Source organism: Homo sapiens, chromosome 2 (assembly GCF_000001405.40).
Source record: "Homo sapiens chromosome 2, GRCh38.p14 Primary Assembly".
Lineage (NCBI taxonomy): Eukaryota > Metazoa > Chordata > Mammalia > Primates > Hominidae > Homo > Homo sapiens.
In genome coordinates, this window is record NC_000002.12 from 79293534 (window position 1) to 79315229 (window position 21696).

The 21696-nt window shown below is 38.0% G+C and overlaps 1 protein-coding gene across 1 annotated transcript in view; it reads left to right on the forward strand.

Moving 5' to 3' along the window:
- CTNNA2 (catenin alpha 2) overlaps positions 1 to 21696 on the forward strand; it is a 1463404-nt gene that overhangs the window by 108157 nt on the left and 1333551 nt on the right. Inside the window, exon 3 of the mRNA NM_001399737.1 lies at positions 19176 to 19263. The gene's annotated coding sequence lies outside the window, so the exon portion shown is untranslated. The remainder of the gene's footprint in view (positions 1 to 19175; positions 19264 to 21696) is intronic.

The window sequence follows — 21696 nt, forward strand, 5'->3', positions numbered from 1 at the left end:
AGGAGTCTATAAAGCAATTTAAAGGCATAGAGGATGGAAATGTTGGAAGAGACTTTGCTGAGGAAATTGCCATCAGCTGAGGGTAGGTCAAAAGCTAATAGAATTAACATAAGGCCATTCATGTAAATTAAAATACACATACAAAATAACACTATTTTTCAAGGACATGTGTTTGATCCCTTACAACAAACACATTAGTGTGGGTGTCTTTGAATAGGGAGAAACAGGAATGAGTATGAGGGTAAACAGAAAATAAAATAAAAGTAAGAATTTGCTCAAATTAGTAATTATAATGTGCTATGAAATACAAATAATTCACCTTCAATCTTTATTAGCAATGTGACCTCGGATAAGTCTGTCAATCTTTATCTTAGATACAGCAGGATGGCCTCATCTATAAAACGAGAATAATAATATATTATTTTCAGAGTTGTTTGTAGAATGGAATGAAATAAAGTATGGAAAGTACTGTCTTAGTCCGCTTGGTCTGCCATAACAAAGCTCTGCACATGGGGTGGCTTAAGCAATGTAAATTTCTCTCTCATAGTCCTGAAGACTGGGAAGTCCAAGATTAAGGTGCCAACTCTCTTTCTGGCTTATAGATGGCCACTTTCTTTCTGTGTCCTCGCATGGCAGACAGAGAGAGAGAGAGAAAGAGAGAGAGAGAGAGAAGAAGAAGAGGAAGAAGAAGAAGAAGAAGAAGAAGAGGAGGAGGAGGAGGAGGAGGAGAAGTTGGAGGAGGAGACAAATTCAAGGAGAAAGAGAGAGAGAGGGTGCTAGCTCTCTCTGGTATCTATTCTTATGAAGATATTAATCCTATCATATCAGGTCCCCACCCTTGTGACTTTATCTAACCATAATTACCTTAAGTCCTATCTGCAAATACAGCCATATTGGGGTTTAGGGATTTGACATGTGAACGTGGAGTGGGACACAATTTAGTCCATACCAAGTATCTAGCACAGCTTCAGAAACATAGCAAGTATTCAAAATCTGTTCTCTCTTCCCCAAACCATCAACCTCCTATCTTAACCCTTTTTCACATGGTACTAACAAGATACCAAATAGAGACTTTGGGTTAAAATATAAGTGGTGTCTATTTTATAGATTATCAGAAGGAATAAACTCAGTAACTTATTTGAATTTTGCATAATATTTCATTTTATCTTTTCTTATTGTTTTGAAACCTGTATTTTTTACTCAGCCATATGTTCTGAATAATTATCCATTTCACTAAAGGTAAGACTAGATCACTTTAGCTAGTATATAATATCATAATTCTATGTGTGACTATTCTGTAATTTATTATCTATTGTGTCATTATCTTATCTGCTGATTGACATATTATCTACTGATTTTGATCTTATCTGCTGATGGATATATTATCTACTGATTTGCTATTGTATACAATGTCTTGATGAACAGATGCCTACAAACACAATTGCACTTGTGTGTGAGTTCATGTGTGTGTGTGTGTGTGTATTTGTGTATGCGTGTGTGTATTTGTGTATGCTCATCTTCAGGTTTCATGCAAATTGCTACATGGCTATTCAGAATATTCACTGTGCTTTATTTTTTGACTATTCTCAGTTTACTTTGTTTCACATTCTGTGACATTCCATCAGTCTAGCACCTGCAACCATTGTCTCCTCCAGGTATTTCTCACATTTTGTCCTCTTTCCCAGCCTATACTTCGGCAGATAACCTCAACACTTACCTTGCTGAGAAGAAACCCTGCCATGTTCTGCAAAGCCACTTACTCAACTTGCCAACTTTTAAAATTAAACACCCTGAATTGGGAGAATCATGTGGCTGCACTAGATTTCTTGTGTTAATAAAATTCAAATTAAATGCAAGCTCTAGGCCAGAAGTAAAAGGCCATGGACAAGAGAAAGAGTGCCAATTATTTCTTCCAAGCAACAGAAATGGGACTTTTCTCCACCTGGCTGGATTTTTCTTTTCTTTTTTTTCTTTTTCTTTCTTTCTTTCTTTTTTTTTTATTTCACCCTCTCCCTTCTTCCCTCACAAACTTTTTTTGTCCTAACTGTGCCTATTTTTCTACCCCTGCCCATATGTTGCAATGAGAGACTTCTTAAAATCTCTTTTCCTGGCAGATGCTGATGTGTTAGCTGGTCAATAGCTGGGGAATGAAATAAAAATACAAATTTTGTGCCTTGAGAATATCAAGAGGAAACTACCCTCCATTCCAATCTCTCTGCATATCCTATTTTACCAGTTCTTTAGGACATCCTCTCAAGGAACTCTTTCTTCTTCCTAAAATACAACTTGGATTAATTGAGTACTTAATTATATACTCTTTGCCAAGTGTTTTCAGAGTGTGAATTTTGTTTACCTCAACAAAATTGTGGGGAAATTTTGTTTTCCTCAACAAAATTGTGGGGAAATTTTGTTTTCCTCAACAAAATTGTGGGGAAATTTTGTTTTCCTCAACAAAATTTCCAAAGGCAGAAATTTTGTATTCTCTTCTTTTTTCTGCCTCATTCCTACTATGCTTATAAATAGTAAATAGTAGGGCTTCCATAAACACTTATTAATAGTTCAACAAAAATATTGGAGAGGTGAGGAAGAAGGTGTGGACCTAACACTTATCCTCAGATGACCTAAAATCTAATAGTGTATCCAGGATACAAACATTACAATGTTAAAGAACATTTCCCACAGCAGATAAGGAATCATCATTTATATCCAGCTGTAGAATGGAGAATGCCAAATTATCTAACTCTTGAATCACAGTGCTCTTTTCACCAATCTCTTTTATTTCATATAGCACTTTTAACTTTGCAAACTTTTCAAAGAGTTTTTGTCTACATACATTATGCTTCAGGAAAGAATTAAAGATTTTAAAAGTCATGAAAAAGTTTCTGCTGGGATAGTAGGAGTTGAATATAAACTGTGGCTTTTTCTTATAAAGCATACCTACTTTTTTCTCATTTATAGCTTTTTTACAGCTCTCATTTGTGCATTTATTTACTACACTTATTATGCACTCTAGCACCTACTATATGTGTCAGGCACTGTAGTAGGCACTGTGGGTGCTGTAAAAAGTAAGACAGACAAGGACCCAATATTCATGGAGTTTACTGCACCTGAAAGTTGAATGATGAAGTAAGAAACACATTTATAGAAAAGAGAATCTTTCTCCACTCTCTGCCCTCACCTCCCAAAAAGTAATGCCCTTTTTGCGGTGCTTTGTCCAGAGGATCCTTCTAAAACAACAGAACCAAACAGCTCTCTGCTTGGGGAAGCTTGCATGGGTTTTAACTCCTTACATTCAAAAATGGTGCCAGTAGTGTTCACCTACCTCCCACACCAAGTTTCTGCCTTCTGTTTTGTCTTCTTAATTGGGGTCTGCTCATGCTTTCTCTTCCTTCAAGCCTCATAAGAAAGGTAGGGCCTTTGCATTCCTGCTGAGCATTGCTGCCATTGTTTTATCACCCTTAGAATACCTCCTTTATTTCATATCATTCAACCATTTCTGATTTGTCCCCATGTATCATTGATACTGATCTCTGCCCCTCCTCCACCCTTACTGAGAATTTGGGCATCTAATACATGAAAATTCCTTATACTCCTTGTTCTGCTGTGATCCCAGATGATTTTGATTTTTGATTTTTTGGTTTGTCATTTGTTTGTTTGTTTGTTTGTTTGTTTTGACAACAACCTGTCCTCAGCTGAAACCTAAAAATGCTTTGAGAGACCTTTGTCCTCTGTTCATTTCAGCTACCCACATCCACTAACACTCTAGATCTTGAAACCAGTAGAACCTAGAAACATTTCTGTTCTGAAATCTTAACTTCAGTGTCTGACCATCTGGCCAAAACATCCTTCTTTTTCTTCCCAGTCACTCTCTTACATTTGAACAAGAGTTTTTAAACAAATTCTGGAAAGACCAATTCTATGACAATATCAAGATCTACAGACCCAGATTACCTCAGTTGGCCACTTGGCTTTACTTTCTCATATCCTCAGCTAGACTTCATGGTTCATTTTGTGATTTCCTCTCCTTTGCCCTCCTGCAACCAAGCCTTGGTTTCTCTACACCTATTCCAAGACTGCTGAGGAAAAGTATACAACCATGCAGACTGGAGCCAAGACAAATTCATTCCAACTATTTATCTCTCTATCTATATCTATCTATCTAATCTTTCATCTACTCATTGCTTTAACTCTATCAAGACAAATTCATTCCTTCTATCTATTTATCTATCTATCTAATCTTTTGTCAAACTGCTTTAACTCTAATCACTCTCTTTGATTTTTACTCTTTACTTTTTCTCCTTTTCTCTTGAAGTCAAATTCTGAGGCAGATTATCCACACTCATTGGAAACAAATAACTGCAAATAGTTACTCATCTATCTCTCATTTGATCTCCAAATCTGTAAAATCTGTTTTAAACTTCCAACATTTTGTGCAATTGGTTCTCCAGAGTTTAGTCAAGGCATCATTATTTCTAAACCAATGCGTCATTATCATTTATGGTACCACATGTCTTGGCCCATTTTGCATTGCTATAAAGGAAATACCTGAGGCTGAGTGATTTATTTTAAAAAGACTTTTATTTGGCTCACAGTTCTGTAGGCTTCATAGGCATGGCATGGGCATCTGTTTCTGGTAAGGATCTCAGGAAGCTTTTATTCATGGCAAAAGGCAAAGGGGGTGCAGTCATGTCAAATGGAGAGAGTGGGAGCAAGAGAGATAGGTGGAGATGCCAGGCTCCTTTTAACAATCAGATCTCTCAGGAACGAATAGAGAAAGAGTTCATTTATTACTGCAAGGCAGCATCAAGCCACTTATGAGGAATCAGACCCTTGACCCAAACACCTCCCACCAGGTCCACCTCCAATGTTCAGGATCAAATTTCAACATGAGATTTGGAAGGGACAAGCATCCAAATTATACATCACCGCTACAACATTTGCGCATCACCCCCCAAAAATCTGGGTTATTTGATGTCATTCATTGATTCTTCTAACTCTGATGGTTCCATCTCAACCTCTCTTCAGGAGTCTCCTTCCTGCTCTTCTTTAATTAAATTCCCAATTCCACATTCCTTAAGTTCTTTCCTTAATTCACTCTTCTTTTCTCTATATACATAATCCCTCTTTTATACCCAAAGGTCCAACTCCCCCTTAGACACTGATGTCCCCAAATCTTATCCCCAAGTCAAAAATCTCTCCAGAGCTGCAAATCTGTCTGCCCGCTGGGCATTCCACTTGAACATTCTCTAGGCATCACAAGCCCTAAATATTCAAAACTAAATCTACCTTCTTTTCTTTCAAATATGTTCCCCACAAATCTGTGTCTGATGCATAGTTGGTTGCTAAACAGCCTTTAACTGTTCAGCCTTTATCTGATTAGAGAAGACACTGAGCTTGGAATCCCTGAATAACTTATCCAAACAGCTCCTAATTCCATTCAGATCTCTTAGCTCTTCATTTGAAGAGCTTAGAACAATTTATCATCATTAAGTATTCTCCTTCATTATTGAGAATGCTAAGTCTGAGATAAACTTCATTAAATGGGGTCCCCAAGCTTCAACTCATAGGTTTAGTATCGTCTGGAGCTTTCCCCAAGTGGATACAGCAAGTCAGGAGTGGAGTAGGCAATAACCTGCTTTGTGGATTCCTGAGTCAGGCAGGGTGTGATGGCCTGTCCTGACAGCCCACCAGCTCTCAGAGTCTTGCTATTGGAACTCACAGGTGAGATTTATTTGGATGTCTTCTGCAAGTGATGGAAGAGTCTAATCCTTGGATTTAGTTTATTAGTTTGTTTAACCTGTCAGCATTATTCTGATTGTTTAGTGCCAGCGTCATAGGCTACAAGATGCAAAATAGGTGAAGCGGCTAATAAGTTAAGAAAACTCTGATTAAGTTCCATGAGGACTCAACAAGCATTGTACAGGTTAATTGAATTTTTATAGATTAATTCTCCTTTCCCGATTCTAAGAGGTTGTTCTCTTTCAAAGCCCTCTGCCAAACCGGTGATGGGAGAAATTAAAAATCCCAAACTAAATAAATTGTCCCTGCTTTTATCCTGGGGATCATAATGCACAAAGCAGCAAATATGAGGTGTGTAGGGAAGAAATAGTAACTGAGTCTTCGGGTTCTGTGGACACAGCAATAGGTATACAAGGTAAACTTCTGACCTAATAATAAATAATCAATCACACTGAGGATTTATTGACTCTAATGGTTGAAAAAGTTTTCCAGACCTTAAGCAAAATTCTAAGTGGTCTGTGCTTTTCATATTTGAATAAAGTCACACTGGGATTGAGCTGAGGCTACTATATGCTAACTATTATCCATAAATTAGAAACAGATGTAGGTGAAAATATGCATTTTAAATTAATAGAAGTTATTTTTAGGGAAGTTTTAGATTTACAGAAAAATTGAATGGAAAGGACAGAGTTGCTGTATAACTGCCAACACACAGTTTCCACTGTTATTAATATCTTGCATTAGTGTAATACATTTGTTACAATTGATGAACCAATATTGATACATCACTAACAGATTTCAAAGAATGTAAAAAGACATGTATCTACCAATATCATACAGATTCATACAGTAATCATACAGAATAGTGTCGTTGCCCTAAAATTCCCCCTGCTCTAACTACTCATCCCTTCTTCCCCATCTCTGCCACAAACCCCGGCAACCAGTGATGTTTTCCTGTCTCCATAGTTTTGCCTTTTCCAGAATGCCATAGAGCTGGAATCATGGAGGGTATGGACTTTGTAGATGGGATTCTTTTACTTACCTTAAGCTTCCTCCATTTCTTTTCATGGCACATTTCTTTTTATACCTAAATAATATGCCATTGTATAGATATGGAAATATGTATTTTTAACAATAGACCATAGAATCCTCCTGGATCTCAGAGACCCTAAAGAAGAAGTTACACCACTTTCTTCTCTCTCCAATGGGGAAGGATCATGTAGAATTCATTTACTGAGGGAAGACTGGTTTATAAATGGCAACCACATCAGTATACTGTTGAAAAAATTCTTTCTACATTCTCCACCTCAATTGATGCACTATCACAAATTTCTTCCACCCAACCACCTAAAACCTGAAGACTTTAACTCCTAAATTTCTTAAGTTTCATTAAATCTTATATTTCTTAAAAAATTCTCCCATTTCTAACTAGTTCAGACTCTCATCATTTCTCCACTAACCACTGTGATACTCTTCTATTTGGTCTTTCTGATTTCAGCTATGCCCTCCTTCTATCTGTATTCCTCATTATTGCTAGAGAGATCTTTCTGATATGTAAATCTTATGTCAGTCTTCTGCTAAAATCATTTGGTGACTCTTCACTCCCTTTGCATGAAGTTCGAGTCTTTCATCTTGCCTCTCCAGGTGTATTTTTGGTTCCTCTCTGTCTCACACTTTGACCTGTGCCAACACCATTTCTTGTGTAACATTTTTCCTGACCTCTTTGACTGCTTTGCTCTCTTTTCTCTTTCTGAAATGCCATCCTATGACCCCCTAATCAACTTCACTTGAATTTGGACTTAGCTGACACATTCCATATTACAAGATGCCTTTTCTGAAATTACTTTTTCTTTTCTCTCTTCTGTCTAAACTGTGTTGAGTCCCCTGTTCTGTGTTGCAATAAACCTTGTCCATATCTCTCCTTTTGAACCTCCCTTATCATGTCTTTATAAGATTTTCCAATTCCATACAGGCCTTCTACACTACGAAGGCAGAGATTCATTCACCATTAAATTTGCCACCCCTGGCATAGAATCTGATATATATATAACACAGTTTACAGATACTCCTTAAATGAATGTAAGAGCAGATGTCCAAGGCCAAGCTGACTCTTGACTGGTTACTGTGTAGAGCTCTTGTGCTTGAGGGCCCTGACTTTCTCTGTAAGGAGAGGATCAGATAAGATGATTACTGTTGGCCCAAGCCATGGTCTTAGGCAGAAGGAACCTGGAGTGGACTACAGGATTTTTGGTAATGATCCAGTGCTGTATGCTCCTACGTTCGCTGCTAATGTCTCTGGACTCCATTCCAACACTTACAGATTATTTTTCTCTCTGTTCATCACCTGGCATATACCATATTGCCCCACTACCCACCTCTCATCCCCCCTATCTCCCCTGTCTCCCCTTGAGTACAGTCAGAATATAATCCCTGTGAAGCTTTCCCAATAGGAGACTATGAGAGTCATCCCTCACCTGGCTCCCTTGGAGTCAGAGCTGTGAGATCTGGACTTTCTCATGAAATAAGAACCTCTGGGCCGGGCACAGTGGCTCACATCTGTAATCCTACTGCTTTGGGAGGCTGAGGCGGGTGGATCATATTTGAGTTTAGGAGTTCGAAACCAGCCTGGCCAACAGGATGAAACTCTGTCTCTACAAAAAATACAAAAAAATTAGCTGGGTGTGGTGGCGGGCTCCTGTAATCCCAGCTACTCAGAAGGTTGAGGCAGGAGAATCACTTGAACCTGGGAGGCGGAGGTTGCAGTGAGCCGAGGCTGCACAACTGCACTTCAGCCTGGGTGACAGAGAGAGACTCTGTCTCAATAAACAAATAAATAAATAAATAAGTAAATAAATAAATAAATAAAAGAACCCTTGACTTGAAGAGGGAGTTTATTTGAAAAGACTTAGTGACATCAAACTCTACATCTCTGAGAGTCATGATAACAATGCCTACCTCTCACATTTCCCATTCCTCTCTTCTCTCCATCTCTGGCTCAGGTTCCTCCTATTCATTCTCTCCTTGGCAATACTGGGAAGCATCCCTGCTCCTTTTGCTTGGAGTGGCCATTTGCCTTTCTCAGTGTTTAAGGTCAAACTAGACCAGCTCTGTTCACTTATAAAATATCAGACACCTTTCCCCTCTGTCACTTGAGTAAAGAGTAGCTGCAAGGAATGTGGGAGAGGCAGAACAGAGTTCTGACGTGTTTAACCTACTTCTTTAGTCTTTTCTTTAGAGAGTTTCAGCTATCTTTTCCTGACCAAGAAATATTAGCTGTCTTCTTAATGAAGATTGAGGTATCTTGAGAGGGTTGTCTAGAAACCTACTGACAAATGTGACTGTAATTCCTTAAGACAGGACTGTTTTTTGAGAAAGTACCCTTTCAAGTACCATGCAAATTAGATCTAGATTTTCTGCTTGCTGAGAAAGAAGGGAACTAATATGAATTGAGTGTCTATTCGGCACCAGGCATAAAGCTCAGTGATTTGCATAAATAGCTATCATTTCAAATTTTTCAACAACCATAATAATAAAATTTGCCAACATTTGTTGAACTCTAATTACATGTCAGGACCTCTGTTAACAGATTTACTTGACCAATTTAATTTCAGCCTCACAACCACACAGAATATAGGTATTTTTAAATTATCCTTGCTTTTCAGATAAGAATAAAACATAAAGAGAAGTTAACCAACTTGACCACAAAAACATAATTAGTAAAGCAAGTCTCAGGTTTGTTCTAGGACCAAATGAATCTGTGCCCAGTCTTCTACATAGGATGCTATGCTGATTTTTGACTGCAGGAGACAGGCATTGTTGTTATTATTATTTTCAGTTTACAGTCCAAGAACACAGTTTGAAAACAGAGACAAAACAAGGTTGGAAAATCAACCTTGTCTCATCCTCAACACAAGGTCTTCAACTCACACTCTGATGGAATAGAAACTGGAGGTTCTGACCCAGGATCCACGTCCTGAAGTGGGGCCTTGTGAATGAGGTGTGGGCTAAGAAAAGCACTACATCACGCTATCCCAGGGACACCCCGAAACAATCTCTCCAGGTTCCTCTGACTCCAGGCTACTTTGTTGTTGTGTAAACATCAGTTATTTCTATTTTGGTCTTGAAGTCTCTACTGGGAGAGGGGCTATCAATTCCTGCCCTGCCCTAATGAGCTCCAGGGGAGGTGGTCATGTATATTTACAAGCGTGTCTTTCAGGGTGCACTTCTTAATCCTGGTGGACAACCTAATGTCTAAAAGTCCAACTCATGACCAAGTGTCCCTCTCACAAGAAACTTATTTATGCTGTCAGATGTCTTTATGGCTCTTGTCTGACTTCTCTTCAGCTTCTTTCTACCAAGACAGTCACTCTCTAGGAGAGCCCTGATGAGGAAAGGGTTAGGTTCAGCCGTGTTGATGAGGCAAGGCACAGAGGAGACCACACAACAAAACACATGAAATTACAGAAGCAATTTTATTACTTACAGATTCCAGGGAGAAGAGGGCTGCAGCCTTCACAGGACCAATGGGAAGTGGGGGCTGAGGGAATGCCTGGATGCCTGGGACACACACTTAACAAGCAGATGAAGAATAAGAGAGAGAGCGAGAAAGATAGAGAGATAAGAGAGACTCATGGATCAAAGTCTTCACTGAGATCCAGAGCATTACCCATGCAGATTTCCCTCAGGACATTCTAACTGGTGGATTTACAGCAAGCAGTCTGAGCTCAGTAGAGTATGCTGCTACTGGGAGCACTCACTGTGGCACATATTGGCAGTCCATGCAGGGTGTGGGGGCCAGTGGGGCAGGTCAAGTAGCATGTATCTAGCTGTCCTTTACGGATGTGGTCACTAGGAGCTGGTTGTATAAGGCACATATCTAAATCGATCACACTGAGGAACTGGGAGCAGGTAGAAAACTGGAAACTGCGTCAAGGGTGACTGAAATTCTGCTTCTGGTACGAAAAACTTAAATTTATATTGAAAATGGATGCCAAGGCAACATAAAGTTATAAGAATTCACTACATTTATTTATTCACAGTACATGTAACTCTAGAGAAGGAACAAAGAAACTGGTGTATCCATCCCAGAACAGTATCTTAGTATTCTAAAACTGGTTGAATCACAGAAAAATACATTGGATTTTAATGCAATTTCCACTCTGGTGTTTCCACTTACATTAAGGGATTGAATTTCCAAGGCTCACCCAGGTGAGGCAGACTAATGTCCCCAGGAGAAGTCACTTGTCAGACAAATAGGATATCCCAGGTGGCCAAATATACCTTGATTGCAGACTCATAAACCGAAGGATTAAGCGTACCTCATAGAATGAGGGAAAAGATCTCCCTCAATGGTTCTTTTTCTGTTAAAATACATGGCACTATTGTAAGAACTCAATAAACGTCTGCTAAGAACTCAATAGGTATCTATTGTGGTTATAAAGATGAAAAATTGAGCAAAGCCAAATTGGGAGTAAACTTTGGGTAACCAGAGATAGACATTGTCAGAGTTTTTGGTCATAAGGGAGACATGTAGACTCTTTTTAATATGGCACTTGGGCTCATAAAAGATCTGGACAGTGAGGCATGAAGAAATGAATTGCTGACTAAAGTAGTGGGTTTTATTGAATACCAACTGATCTTATCCGCCATCCTTATGCATAAACTGTAGAGTAAAATATTCAATGAGATCTTCATCTTTGTAGAGAATTCCAAACTATCTTGAGTGTGACAAACCAAGATGACAAGGAAAGACTATAGTGGGGTTTTGTACAAAATTTGTGGGAGTGGACATAATAGTGACAAGGGGAATTCTGTGTGTACAGAGGCAAAGCAGTGCATTTCAGGTTACTAGTCATAGGGATTGAAGGGAAGAAAATGTCAAGTGATTATAAAACAAAACTTGAATATTTAATTGGGAAAAAAGTTTAAAAATTGTTATAGGACACACAAATATATATATACACACACACACACAAACACATCTCCGTGAGTATATATGCATATATGTAGATACGTGTGTGTGTATATATATACATATATATACACATATATATACATATATACATATATACATACATATACATATATACATATATATACACATATATATATATATATATTTCTGCATGTATACAGGTAAATTCAGGTGCACAGATGCAGATTTGATCCTGATCCTAGAGTTTGTGTTACTACCTTTATTAATCTGTGCATGGTATGGTATCTTTTCAATGTTTTATTATATTCTACACTCTTTTTGCTTTCTCGATCTTACCCCAGTAGCTACCCACAGTTAATTTACATTATTGCTTACATAGATATTATTTTATATAAAGAATTCTGACTATTCCACACATGACTTTTTCTGAAACCTACCAATGTTGACATCTCTCTATCCACCTGTCAATATAGGTTAACATAGATCAATCTATAGATAGATAGAAATTTAGAACATTTCTTTGGGAGAGTATTCAGCCTTAAGAAACAAGGCACTTGGCCGGGTGCGGTGGATTATGCCTGTAATCCCAGCACTTTGGGAGGCTGAGGCAGGTGGATCACGAGGTCAGAAGATCGAGACCATCCTGGCTAACACGGTGAAACCCCATATCTACTAAAAATACAAAAAAATTAGCTGGGCATGGTGGCGGGCACCTGTAGTCCCAGCTACTTGGGAGGCTCAGGCAGGAGAATGGCGTGAACCCGGGAGGCAGAGCTTGCAGTGAGCTGAGATCGCACCACTGCACTCCAGCCTGGGCAACAGAGCGAGACACCATTTCAAAAAAAAAAAAAAAAAGGCAATCTTGTCTTTTACGACAACATGGATTAAACCCATAGGACACTATGTTAAGTCAAACACATCAGGCACAGGAAGATAATCACCTTTTTATCTCACTTAACTGCAGAATCTAAAGAAATTGAACTCACTCAAGCAAAGTAAAATGGTACTAAGGGATTGAGGGATTCTTGGTCAAAAGGCAGAACATTTCAGTTAGACAGGAGGAGTAAGTTCAAAGGATCTATTGTACATCATGACAACTACAGTTAAGAACAATATATTATATATTTGAAAATTACTAAATAGATGTTGTGTTGTCACAAAAAATGTATGTAAATAATGCATATACTAATTAGTTTGATTTAGACATTTCAAAATGTATACATATATCAAAGCATGTTGTGTACCATAAATACACATAATTTTTGTTAATTAAAAAATAAAATTAAAAAAGGCAATTTAGAACATTTCTTTTGACTGATGAATAACACTCCATCCTTCTAATATAACACACTTTTGGTGGACACAGGCTGTTTTAAATTTTAGGTATTGCAGACAATGCTGAAAGCAATATTTTTGCCCCATTTATGCATACCTCTGGGTATCTGTGTGAGAATTTTTCCATATCTAGTATTTGAAATGTGCATATTTAATTTTATTACATACTTCCAAATGGCTCTCCAGAATAACTATAATAGTTTTCAAGTCCAGTGTTTTCAACATTCTCACCAGAACCTGTTTTCATCTGACTTTAATTTTTGCCAGGCAAATGGCTATAAGATGATGTATTAACATTATTTTGAATTGCAGGTTTTTGATAACTAATGAGATAAGACATCTCTACATGTGCATTAGCCATTCTGGTTTTGCCTTTTGTGGAATCCCATTCATAGTTTCCTCAGCTTTCTGTTGAGATTACTATGTTTCTTTTGCTGATTTGTAGGCATAAGATATACTCTAGATATTAATCCTTTTTTAGTCATACATATGATAATTTCTTCTCCCACTCCATAACTATTTAATACTTAATAATTTTTTGGTTTTCTAACATTTATTTTATTTTTTAAACTGACACATAATAATTGTACATATTTATGGTTACACAGTGATAGTTTGATACATATAATGTATAGGGATCAGATCAGGGTAATGAGCATATCCATCATCTCAAATGTCGATCACTTCTTTGTGCTGGGAATGTTCGACATCCTCCTTCTAGCTATTTGAAATTATATCAGATATTATTGTTATCTATAGTCTTCCTACAGTGCTATAGAGCACCGGAACTTACTCCTCCGATCTAGCTGTAATTTCGTATCCTTTAACAAATCTATCCTTCCTTTTCCTCTACCTTTAGTATCCTCTATTCTACTTTTTACTTCTATGAGATCAACTTTTTTAGCTTCCACATATGAGTGAGAACATGTGGTGTTTAACTTTCTGTTCCTTGCTTATTTCACATAACATAATGTCCTCCAGCAATGTCCATGTTGCTGTGAATGACAGGATTTTATTCTTTTTATGGCTGAATAGTATTCTATTGTGTATATATATCACCTTTTCTTTACCCATCTGTTGTTGGACACCTAGGTTGATTTCCTATTTTAACTATTGTAAATTAGGCTGCAATAAGCATGGGGGTACAGAAGTCTCTTCAATATATTGATTTTCTTTCCTCTGGATACATGCCCAGTAGTGGGATTGCTGAAGCATATGGTAGTTCTATTTGTAGAATTTGAGGAACCTCCATACTGTTCTTCATCATGACTTAACTAGTTTAAATTCCTATGAACAGTGTATGAGTTTGATTTTCTCCATAACCTCACCAACATTTGTTTTTTTTCTTTCTGATAATAGCCATCCTAACTGGTGTAAAATGACACTTCACTGTGATTTTCATTTTCATTTCTCTGATGATTAATGATGTTGAGCATTTTTTTGATATATTTATTGGCCATATGGATGTCTTCTTTTGAGAAATGTCTATTCAGATGATTTGTCCATTTTTATTTATTTCGAGATTGAGTTTTGCTCTTGTTGCCCAGGCTGCAGTACAGTGGCATGATCTCGGCTCACTGCAAGCTCAGCTTCCCAGGTTCAAGTGATTCTCCTGCCTCAGCCTTCTGAGTACCTGGGATTACAGGTGCCCATCACCATGCCTGGCTAATTTTTTCTATTTTCTGCAGAGACAGGGTTTCATCATGTTGGCCAGGCTAGTCTCAAACTCCTGACCTCAGGTGATCCACCCACCTCAGCCCCCCAAATTTCTGGGATTACAGTCATGAGCCACAGCGCCCAGCCCATTTGTCCATTTTTAAATTGGATTATTTGTTTTTTTGCTGTTGAGATGTTTGAGCTTCTTGTATATTCTGGATATTAACACAAATACTTTCTCCCATTTTGTAGATTGTCTTTTCACTCTGTGGATTGTTTCCTTTGCAGTGCAGAAGATTTTTAGCTTGATATATTCCCATTTGTTTATTTTTGCTTTTGTTCCCTGTGCTTTCGAGCTCTTATTCATAAAGCCTTTTTTCAGACCAATGTCCGGAAGCATTTCCCCTGTTTTGTCTTCTAGAAGTTTTATAGTTTCAGGTCATACATTTAGGTCTTTGATCCATTTTGACCTGGTTTTTGTATAGGGTGAGAGGTGGGAGTCTGGTTTCATTCTCCTGCATATGGATAACCAGTTACCACCTAATTTTGACATTTTCAAATCCACTAAATGTTTCATTTTATGGTTTTTTTTTTTTTTGCTCTTGAGGTTTTGTTCAAGAAATTATTTTCCTTCTCTATTGCATATTTTCTTCAAATGATTTTGAAGTTTTACCTTTAATATTTTTATTTTTAATCTACCAGGAAATTATTTTTATTTACTCTTTCAGATACAATCTAATTTTAGTTTTCTCCATATTGAAAACAGCCTTCTGGATCTTGCCTATCAATCTCCTTCCTGCTGCCCTATATTGTCTCCTTTATCAAACAGGAAGTTTTATATATATGAGTATATTTTTGTATTCTCCAGACTGTTCTCTTGGTCTATTTCTCTCTCTGTGACCCATTTCTACACTGTTTTAATTACCTTGGCTTTGCAATATGTTTTAACATATCACAACTTTTTTTGAGAATTTTTTTCTTCTCTTCTTGAATCTTTGCTTTTTTATGTGCATTTTATAATCATATTGTGTGATTCCACCTACCCACTCCCTCAAGTTTCAACTGGAGTTGTACTACATATTTGGATTAACTTGGGAAGAACTGATAGATTTTTAATATTAAATCCTCAGTCAAAAAACAAAATTACACAAATTTAGTTTAAAAATCTCAATTGGCTTTATTACAATTCTAGAATTGGGTATCAGTTCATTTTGTAAAATAAAAAGTGTTTCAATGAATCCAGCAGAGGAGTATGGCTTTATAGACAGAAAAAGGACTGAAGAATGCAGAAACAAAGAACAAAAAGCAGATTGATTATTTCAAAGTTATAATACTTTCCTTGTAAGGCAGGAACAAGGAGAAAGAACAATAGAAAAATAACTGATTGGTTAACATCAGGTTACTTCAGGCTACCATATTTGTGTAAGATGAGAGAATTTTGTTATCATACAGATTGATGATTTAAACTGGTCTAATTAGGAGATTGGCTATCTCTGGCTCCTGATTTCTCTAAAGGTCTGATAACAACTTAGTTTTCCTTAGAAACTTTAGCATGTGTAATTCCACTTTGATTTTTAGTTTGGTCTGCTGGTGCCTAGTACAGAAGCTTGATCCAAAACAATGGCCCACTATAATTTTTAACACTCATTTCCACAAATCTGGTACATTTCTCCTTTGCTTCAGTTCTCTTCTGTCCTTCAATAACACTTTATAATTTTCTCCATAAAATTTCTCACATTTTTATTAGTCAATTGCTTTATACTTTGCATTTTTATTTTCATAAATGCTATCTTCTTTTAGGTACATTTTCTAATCAGTAATTGCCAGTATAAAGATACTATTGATTTATTTATGTTGGTATTTTACTTTTCATCATTTTATCTAATGTATCCAATAGCCTGTTTATTCTTTTGAGTTTTCTGTATAAAGGATCATAATATATGCAAATTACAGGAGTTTTATCTCTTATTTTCAAGTACTTAGACTATGTTGCACTTTGTTGGGGGTTTCACTGTATTAGTCGGAACTTCCAATATTATGCTTAAGAGCAATGGTGATAATAAAATATTTGGTATATTCCTAACTTCGACAAAATGTTTCTAAGATTTCTTCATTATGGAGGTTTTTGAAAATATTTATAGTTTGGACAGTTCACTTTTAAATTTTTCATTAAGACCTTTCATTTTTAAATTGAACCTAAGTGCTGAATTATTTTATATGCTTTTCCTACATACATTTAAACCACTCTTATGTTTCTTCCATTAATGTCACTGGTTATCACGTAACCTCAGATTATTAACAGACTCTTCCTCTTCTCAAGACTACTGAAGAAATCTTGTCTTTGCCCATGCACTTATTGGGTGTTGTTGTCCATATAGGAACTAACAGGTGAGGAGAAGGATTTAAAGAAACTTGGGTGCTGCAACCAATTTTTAGAAAACTAAAAGGATTTTTTTCTCTCGTTAAAGATATAAATCAATGCAGAATTGAGAAACTGAGATAGTTAAAGCCAGCATAGCCTGGAGAACTTGAAGTAAATTAGAGAAAGTGGAAGAGAGACTGGGGGCAGATATTCTATAATGAGTAAGACTTCCAGAAAAAAATATTTTTAAGATTGGTGAATGTTACTAATGTCTTTTTCTGAGTAACTGAATAACATAATTGTTCTTCATTTTCTCTGGTTCTTAGACTTGTGTATTTCTTTAGAGTGGCCATCTGTGCTCAGATTGGGCCACAGAGTGGTGAACATTAGGTGATTTACACCTCAGCTTGGAAATCCTAAATTTTCATACTTGTGAAATTTGAGGAATAAAGAAAGCACAGGAATTATAACTTGCATATGTTGATTAACTAAAAAAGCCCAACAGTAGGAAGCTCTAGTCACCAGTGCCTTAAGTATGACTCTGTCCAAATTACTTAGTTGGTGATTGGCCGGGCGCTGTGGCTCACGCCTGTAATCCCAGCACTTTGGGAGGCCGAGGCGGGCGGATCACGAGGTCAGGAGATCGAGACCATTCTGGCTAACACGGTGAAGCCCCGTCTCTACTAAAAATACAAAAAATTAGCCCGGCGTGATGGCGGGCGCCAGTAGTCCCAGCTACTCGGGAGGCTGAGGCAGGAGAATGGCGTGAACCCGGGAAGCGGAGCTTGCAGTGAGCCGAGACCGCACCACTGCACTCCAGCCTGGGCGACAGGGCTAGACTCCGTCTCAAAAAAAAAAAAAAAAAAAAAAGAGGTGATTAACTTAAATGATTTCTAAGGACTTGTTTGGTGCTAATGCTCTACAATCACCTGTCACTATTGGTCAGAATGTGAAATAGTAACAAAAGATGTCCACTCACTGTACTTAAAAGATAGTGCGTCCCCCGGTGACAGTCGCTTAAAAGTCAGCAACTTCCCACATCCCTAATCTTCAATTCAGAGTTGACCCTTTCTCCCATCTTGAGGTGCTCAGTGATCTCATACTATTCTACTACTGCTACAAACCCCCACTCGGTGCTCCCCAATTCTGCCCACCTAGATAGACCCACATTGCAGGCATCACACCATCCTTCCTCTAGCAAAGCTGATCTATTGGTTGCCTCATTTGCAGAAGCAGTCTTCAGACCTTTAAAATGTGGAATTAATGTGGTCAGTCTTTTCCTTTGGAGGTAGTTACACATGCAATTTATTTATGCGTTTTCTCCTAAGGGCAGTCTTATTTTTGTTTTTGTTTTTTATTTGAAACAGAGTCTTCCTCTGTCACCCAGGCTGGAGTACAGTGGGACAATCATGGCTCACTGTAACCTTGAATTCCTGCTCAACAGATCCTTCTGCTTTTCAGCCTCTTGAGTAGCTGGGACAACAGGCACATGCTACCATGCATGGCTGTTTAAAAAAAAAAAAATTGTAGAGACAGGGTCTTGTCACCATGTTGCCCAGGCTGCACTAAAACTCCTGGCCTCAAGCGATCTTCCTACCTCAGCCTCTCAAAGTGCTGGGATTATAAACATGAGCTACTATGCCTGACCTTTACCCAGGCATAAGGTTTTAACTGAAATGTATAACATTAGTCAGTAGAAAGAGGTACTGATAGAAATGTGTAGTTGGCCAGTCATTCTTCTGCAGTTTCCAATAACATAGTCAATGTCTTTTTGCTTACTTGTGAAGTGAACTGTGTATACTTTCATTCATATGTAAAATCTTCTTCTTGACCCTTCATAGTGTGTATACTCTGTCTTTCCTAACCACGCCGTTATTCTCATTTTTCATTCATTCATTTAGCAAGTATTTATTGAGTACTTTGTGTGTCAGAAATTATGACAGGCACCTGTTAGGTATTAGATTGTGTTTAAATGCAAAATCAAACAAAACTTGGAGTAAGAAAAATATTCCTCAACCAGGTTTGAGAGATCCCTATTTAAAAATTATTCCAGGATAGGGGCTAAGGTCTATGCATTGTAGATGAAACCTTTGGTAATACAGGTGTTCCACACCCAGCTTAAATAATACTCTTGACCTTCATTCACAGAACAAAATATACAGCTGGATGTTTGTCACAATTCTAATGTCCCTGCAAAGATGAGATGCATGAATCACACAGCAATCTCATCAAAAAGGTAAGAAAACAAGGGTATGTTTTATCCTGATGGATTTTACTAGCTTATATCCAATCACTTTTATTGTTTCATCTTCCTTTCCAAGAAATGAGTTCCTTTTTTTCTCCTTTCAAAAACTAGCTGGCTGCTTAACGCCCCGTATACAGCTAGTATTAAACTTTATCTCTTTGCAATTAGTGTTTGTGCACAGAGCAATTAATTAGATTACAGTATTGGTCACGTTTGTATCTCACAAGAAACTAAAGGACCAAAATGCTGATGTCTAGAGAAAGAATCACTTCAATGACTTTGATTAATCTGCTATAAAACATCCTCAAGCCCTCCAACAGATGTAATACTTTATCCCTTGGCTCCCGTTTGCATTTTATAGTTGGAGTTGGGAACAGACAGGCTTCATATGTGTGTAATTGCTTCTGAGCAGAGGGACTAGTGTAATAATTTGGACTGAACTCTCCAGTTTATGGTTTCAGAACTTTCTCCAAACACATCAGTCTGGTCACATACCACCATTAAAATATGATGTGTATATGAGAATCAGAGCACTTGCTAGCAGACCTATAACATTAATATTTAAGATTAATTGAACATTTACTGTATGTCAAGAACTATGCTATGTAGTTTGCATGTATTATCTCACCATAATAATACTGGTATAGTTACTATTTCTTTTAGGTAGTTGTGGAAATTAGGTGCAGAGGGGCAAAGCAATTTAGCTAGATTCTCAGCTAGGAAGTAGCAGAGCTGGAGTTCAAAATCAAGCAGACTGACTCCAGAGCTCATGTTCTTGACAAACTTTTTTACTGACTTCCAATACACCACCAAACAGGCCTGCAGTACCACATTAGCTAATGTGGTCCCAAGAGCTCAACTCAAGGAAGCAGAGAGAATGGCCAAGGGACTCTGACAGAAACATGCAGGTCTGTCTTCTTCCTGGGGTCATGAGGAAGAGGGTAGCATTGCTCTGAGGCCTGCCCATAGAGCCCAGCATGGCAGGTCCTTCAGTCTCATCAGGGATTGGGGTGTGTGTGTTTGGGGGTAAGAGGGGAGAAGTGCACAAAGAGAAACTGTAGAATTCTTGGAAAGGAACTCTCCTCATATGACCGCAGGGAGATGGGCAAGACCCGGTGTGAGAACCAAATGCAGCGCTTGTTCAGAGCCTCTCTCACATGGGGACTGAGAGGTCCTGATGACAACAAGGCCTTCCTAGGTGTGCTCTTTGCTGAGGGATGGGGCATCCTTCTGTGCTGTTAGTCATTTTTCCTAACTCACTCACCTAAGGTGAGGAATCATTTTTCCTTTCTAGAGGTCTTTCCTTCTGCTTCAGGCCCTCTAGACTCAGCCACTCCTGTCTCCCTCACTATTGTCAGATGTCTCCAGACTCTAACCACCAGTATTTCAGGCCCAAGGGATCTCAGACTTGTCATTCTCTTTAGTACTGCAGCATTCCCCAGAGGAGAGAACCAGAAATCCCGTAGAAAATGCAGAAGTAGAAGGTATCTCATAGAAGTGATACCTAGGAGTTCTTGCCACACAAACAGGACTGTTGGCATAGAAGTTCTCGTTATGTTGGGTCCAGATATATTTTAGGTCCATGGTATCTGGAGGCTAATGTAAACAACCTCTCAGGAAGAATATGCGTGGGCCTAATTGTGCACAATTTTAAACAGCAATAAAAAAAATTCTCTGGGGTGGAGGGTGGGGTGCAGTGCACCGTTATATTGAGGATCCAGTAGTAATAAGGCTCAGAGAATAGAGACCCCAATGAATGGCTCCAGGTCTAGAATAATTTTAGGCATCTTTCCTCTCAGGGGCATGGACCAAAGTCTTGTTTTGGTCTACATATTCTATTGACCAATTTTCATTTTAACATTTGTTCCAGAGATAGATAGGAATTGTTCCTTGGGGCCCCATTTTGGCTCAGTGTGATCAGTTTATCTTGCACTCTGCTATGCTAGAGTAGGATGTCCATACCACAGCCTAAAAAAGAGTTTCAAATTCTTTCCCTGAGAAAGGCTACACTGTGTTTCCTCCAGACACTTCATTTACTTTCTGATACCCAGGTATGTGAATACTGTTGGTAGTGCCATGAAGTCATCATTTATGGGCAGACTTCTTGCACTGATCCTTTAATGCACAAAGGTTATAATAGGCTCAAAGGCACATTTTGGAAAATGGAAATGAATTAGGGCTTTTGCTTCTAGCCTCACTATGAACCTCAGAGAAAAACAAAAGGATGAATCACTTCCCTAAGTTACTATTTGGGTGTAATAGGTGCACCTTCTCTCTCTAGGGCTCTCCTTCCCTCTTGTTTTCTCTCTTCTTCTTCCTCTCTTTTTCTTCTGACCTTCAATGGTGATTATGATTTTTATTTGATAAGTTGGCCCCACCATTCTTATAGTCTATTTATTTCTTGACTTATTTGACTGAAAAAAT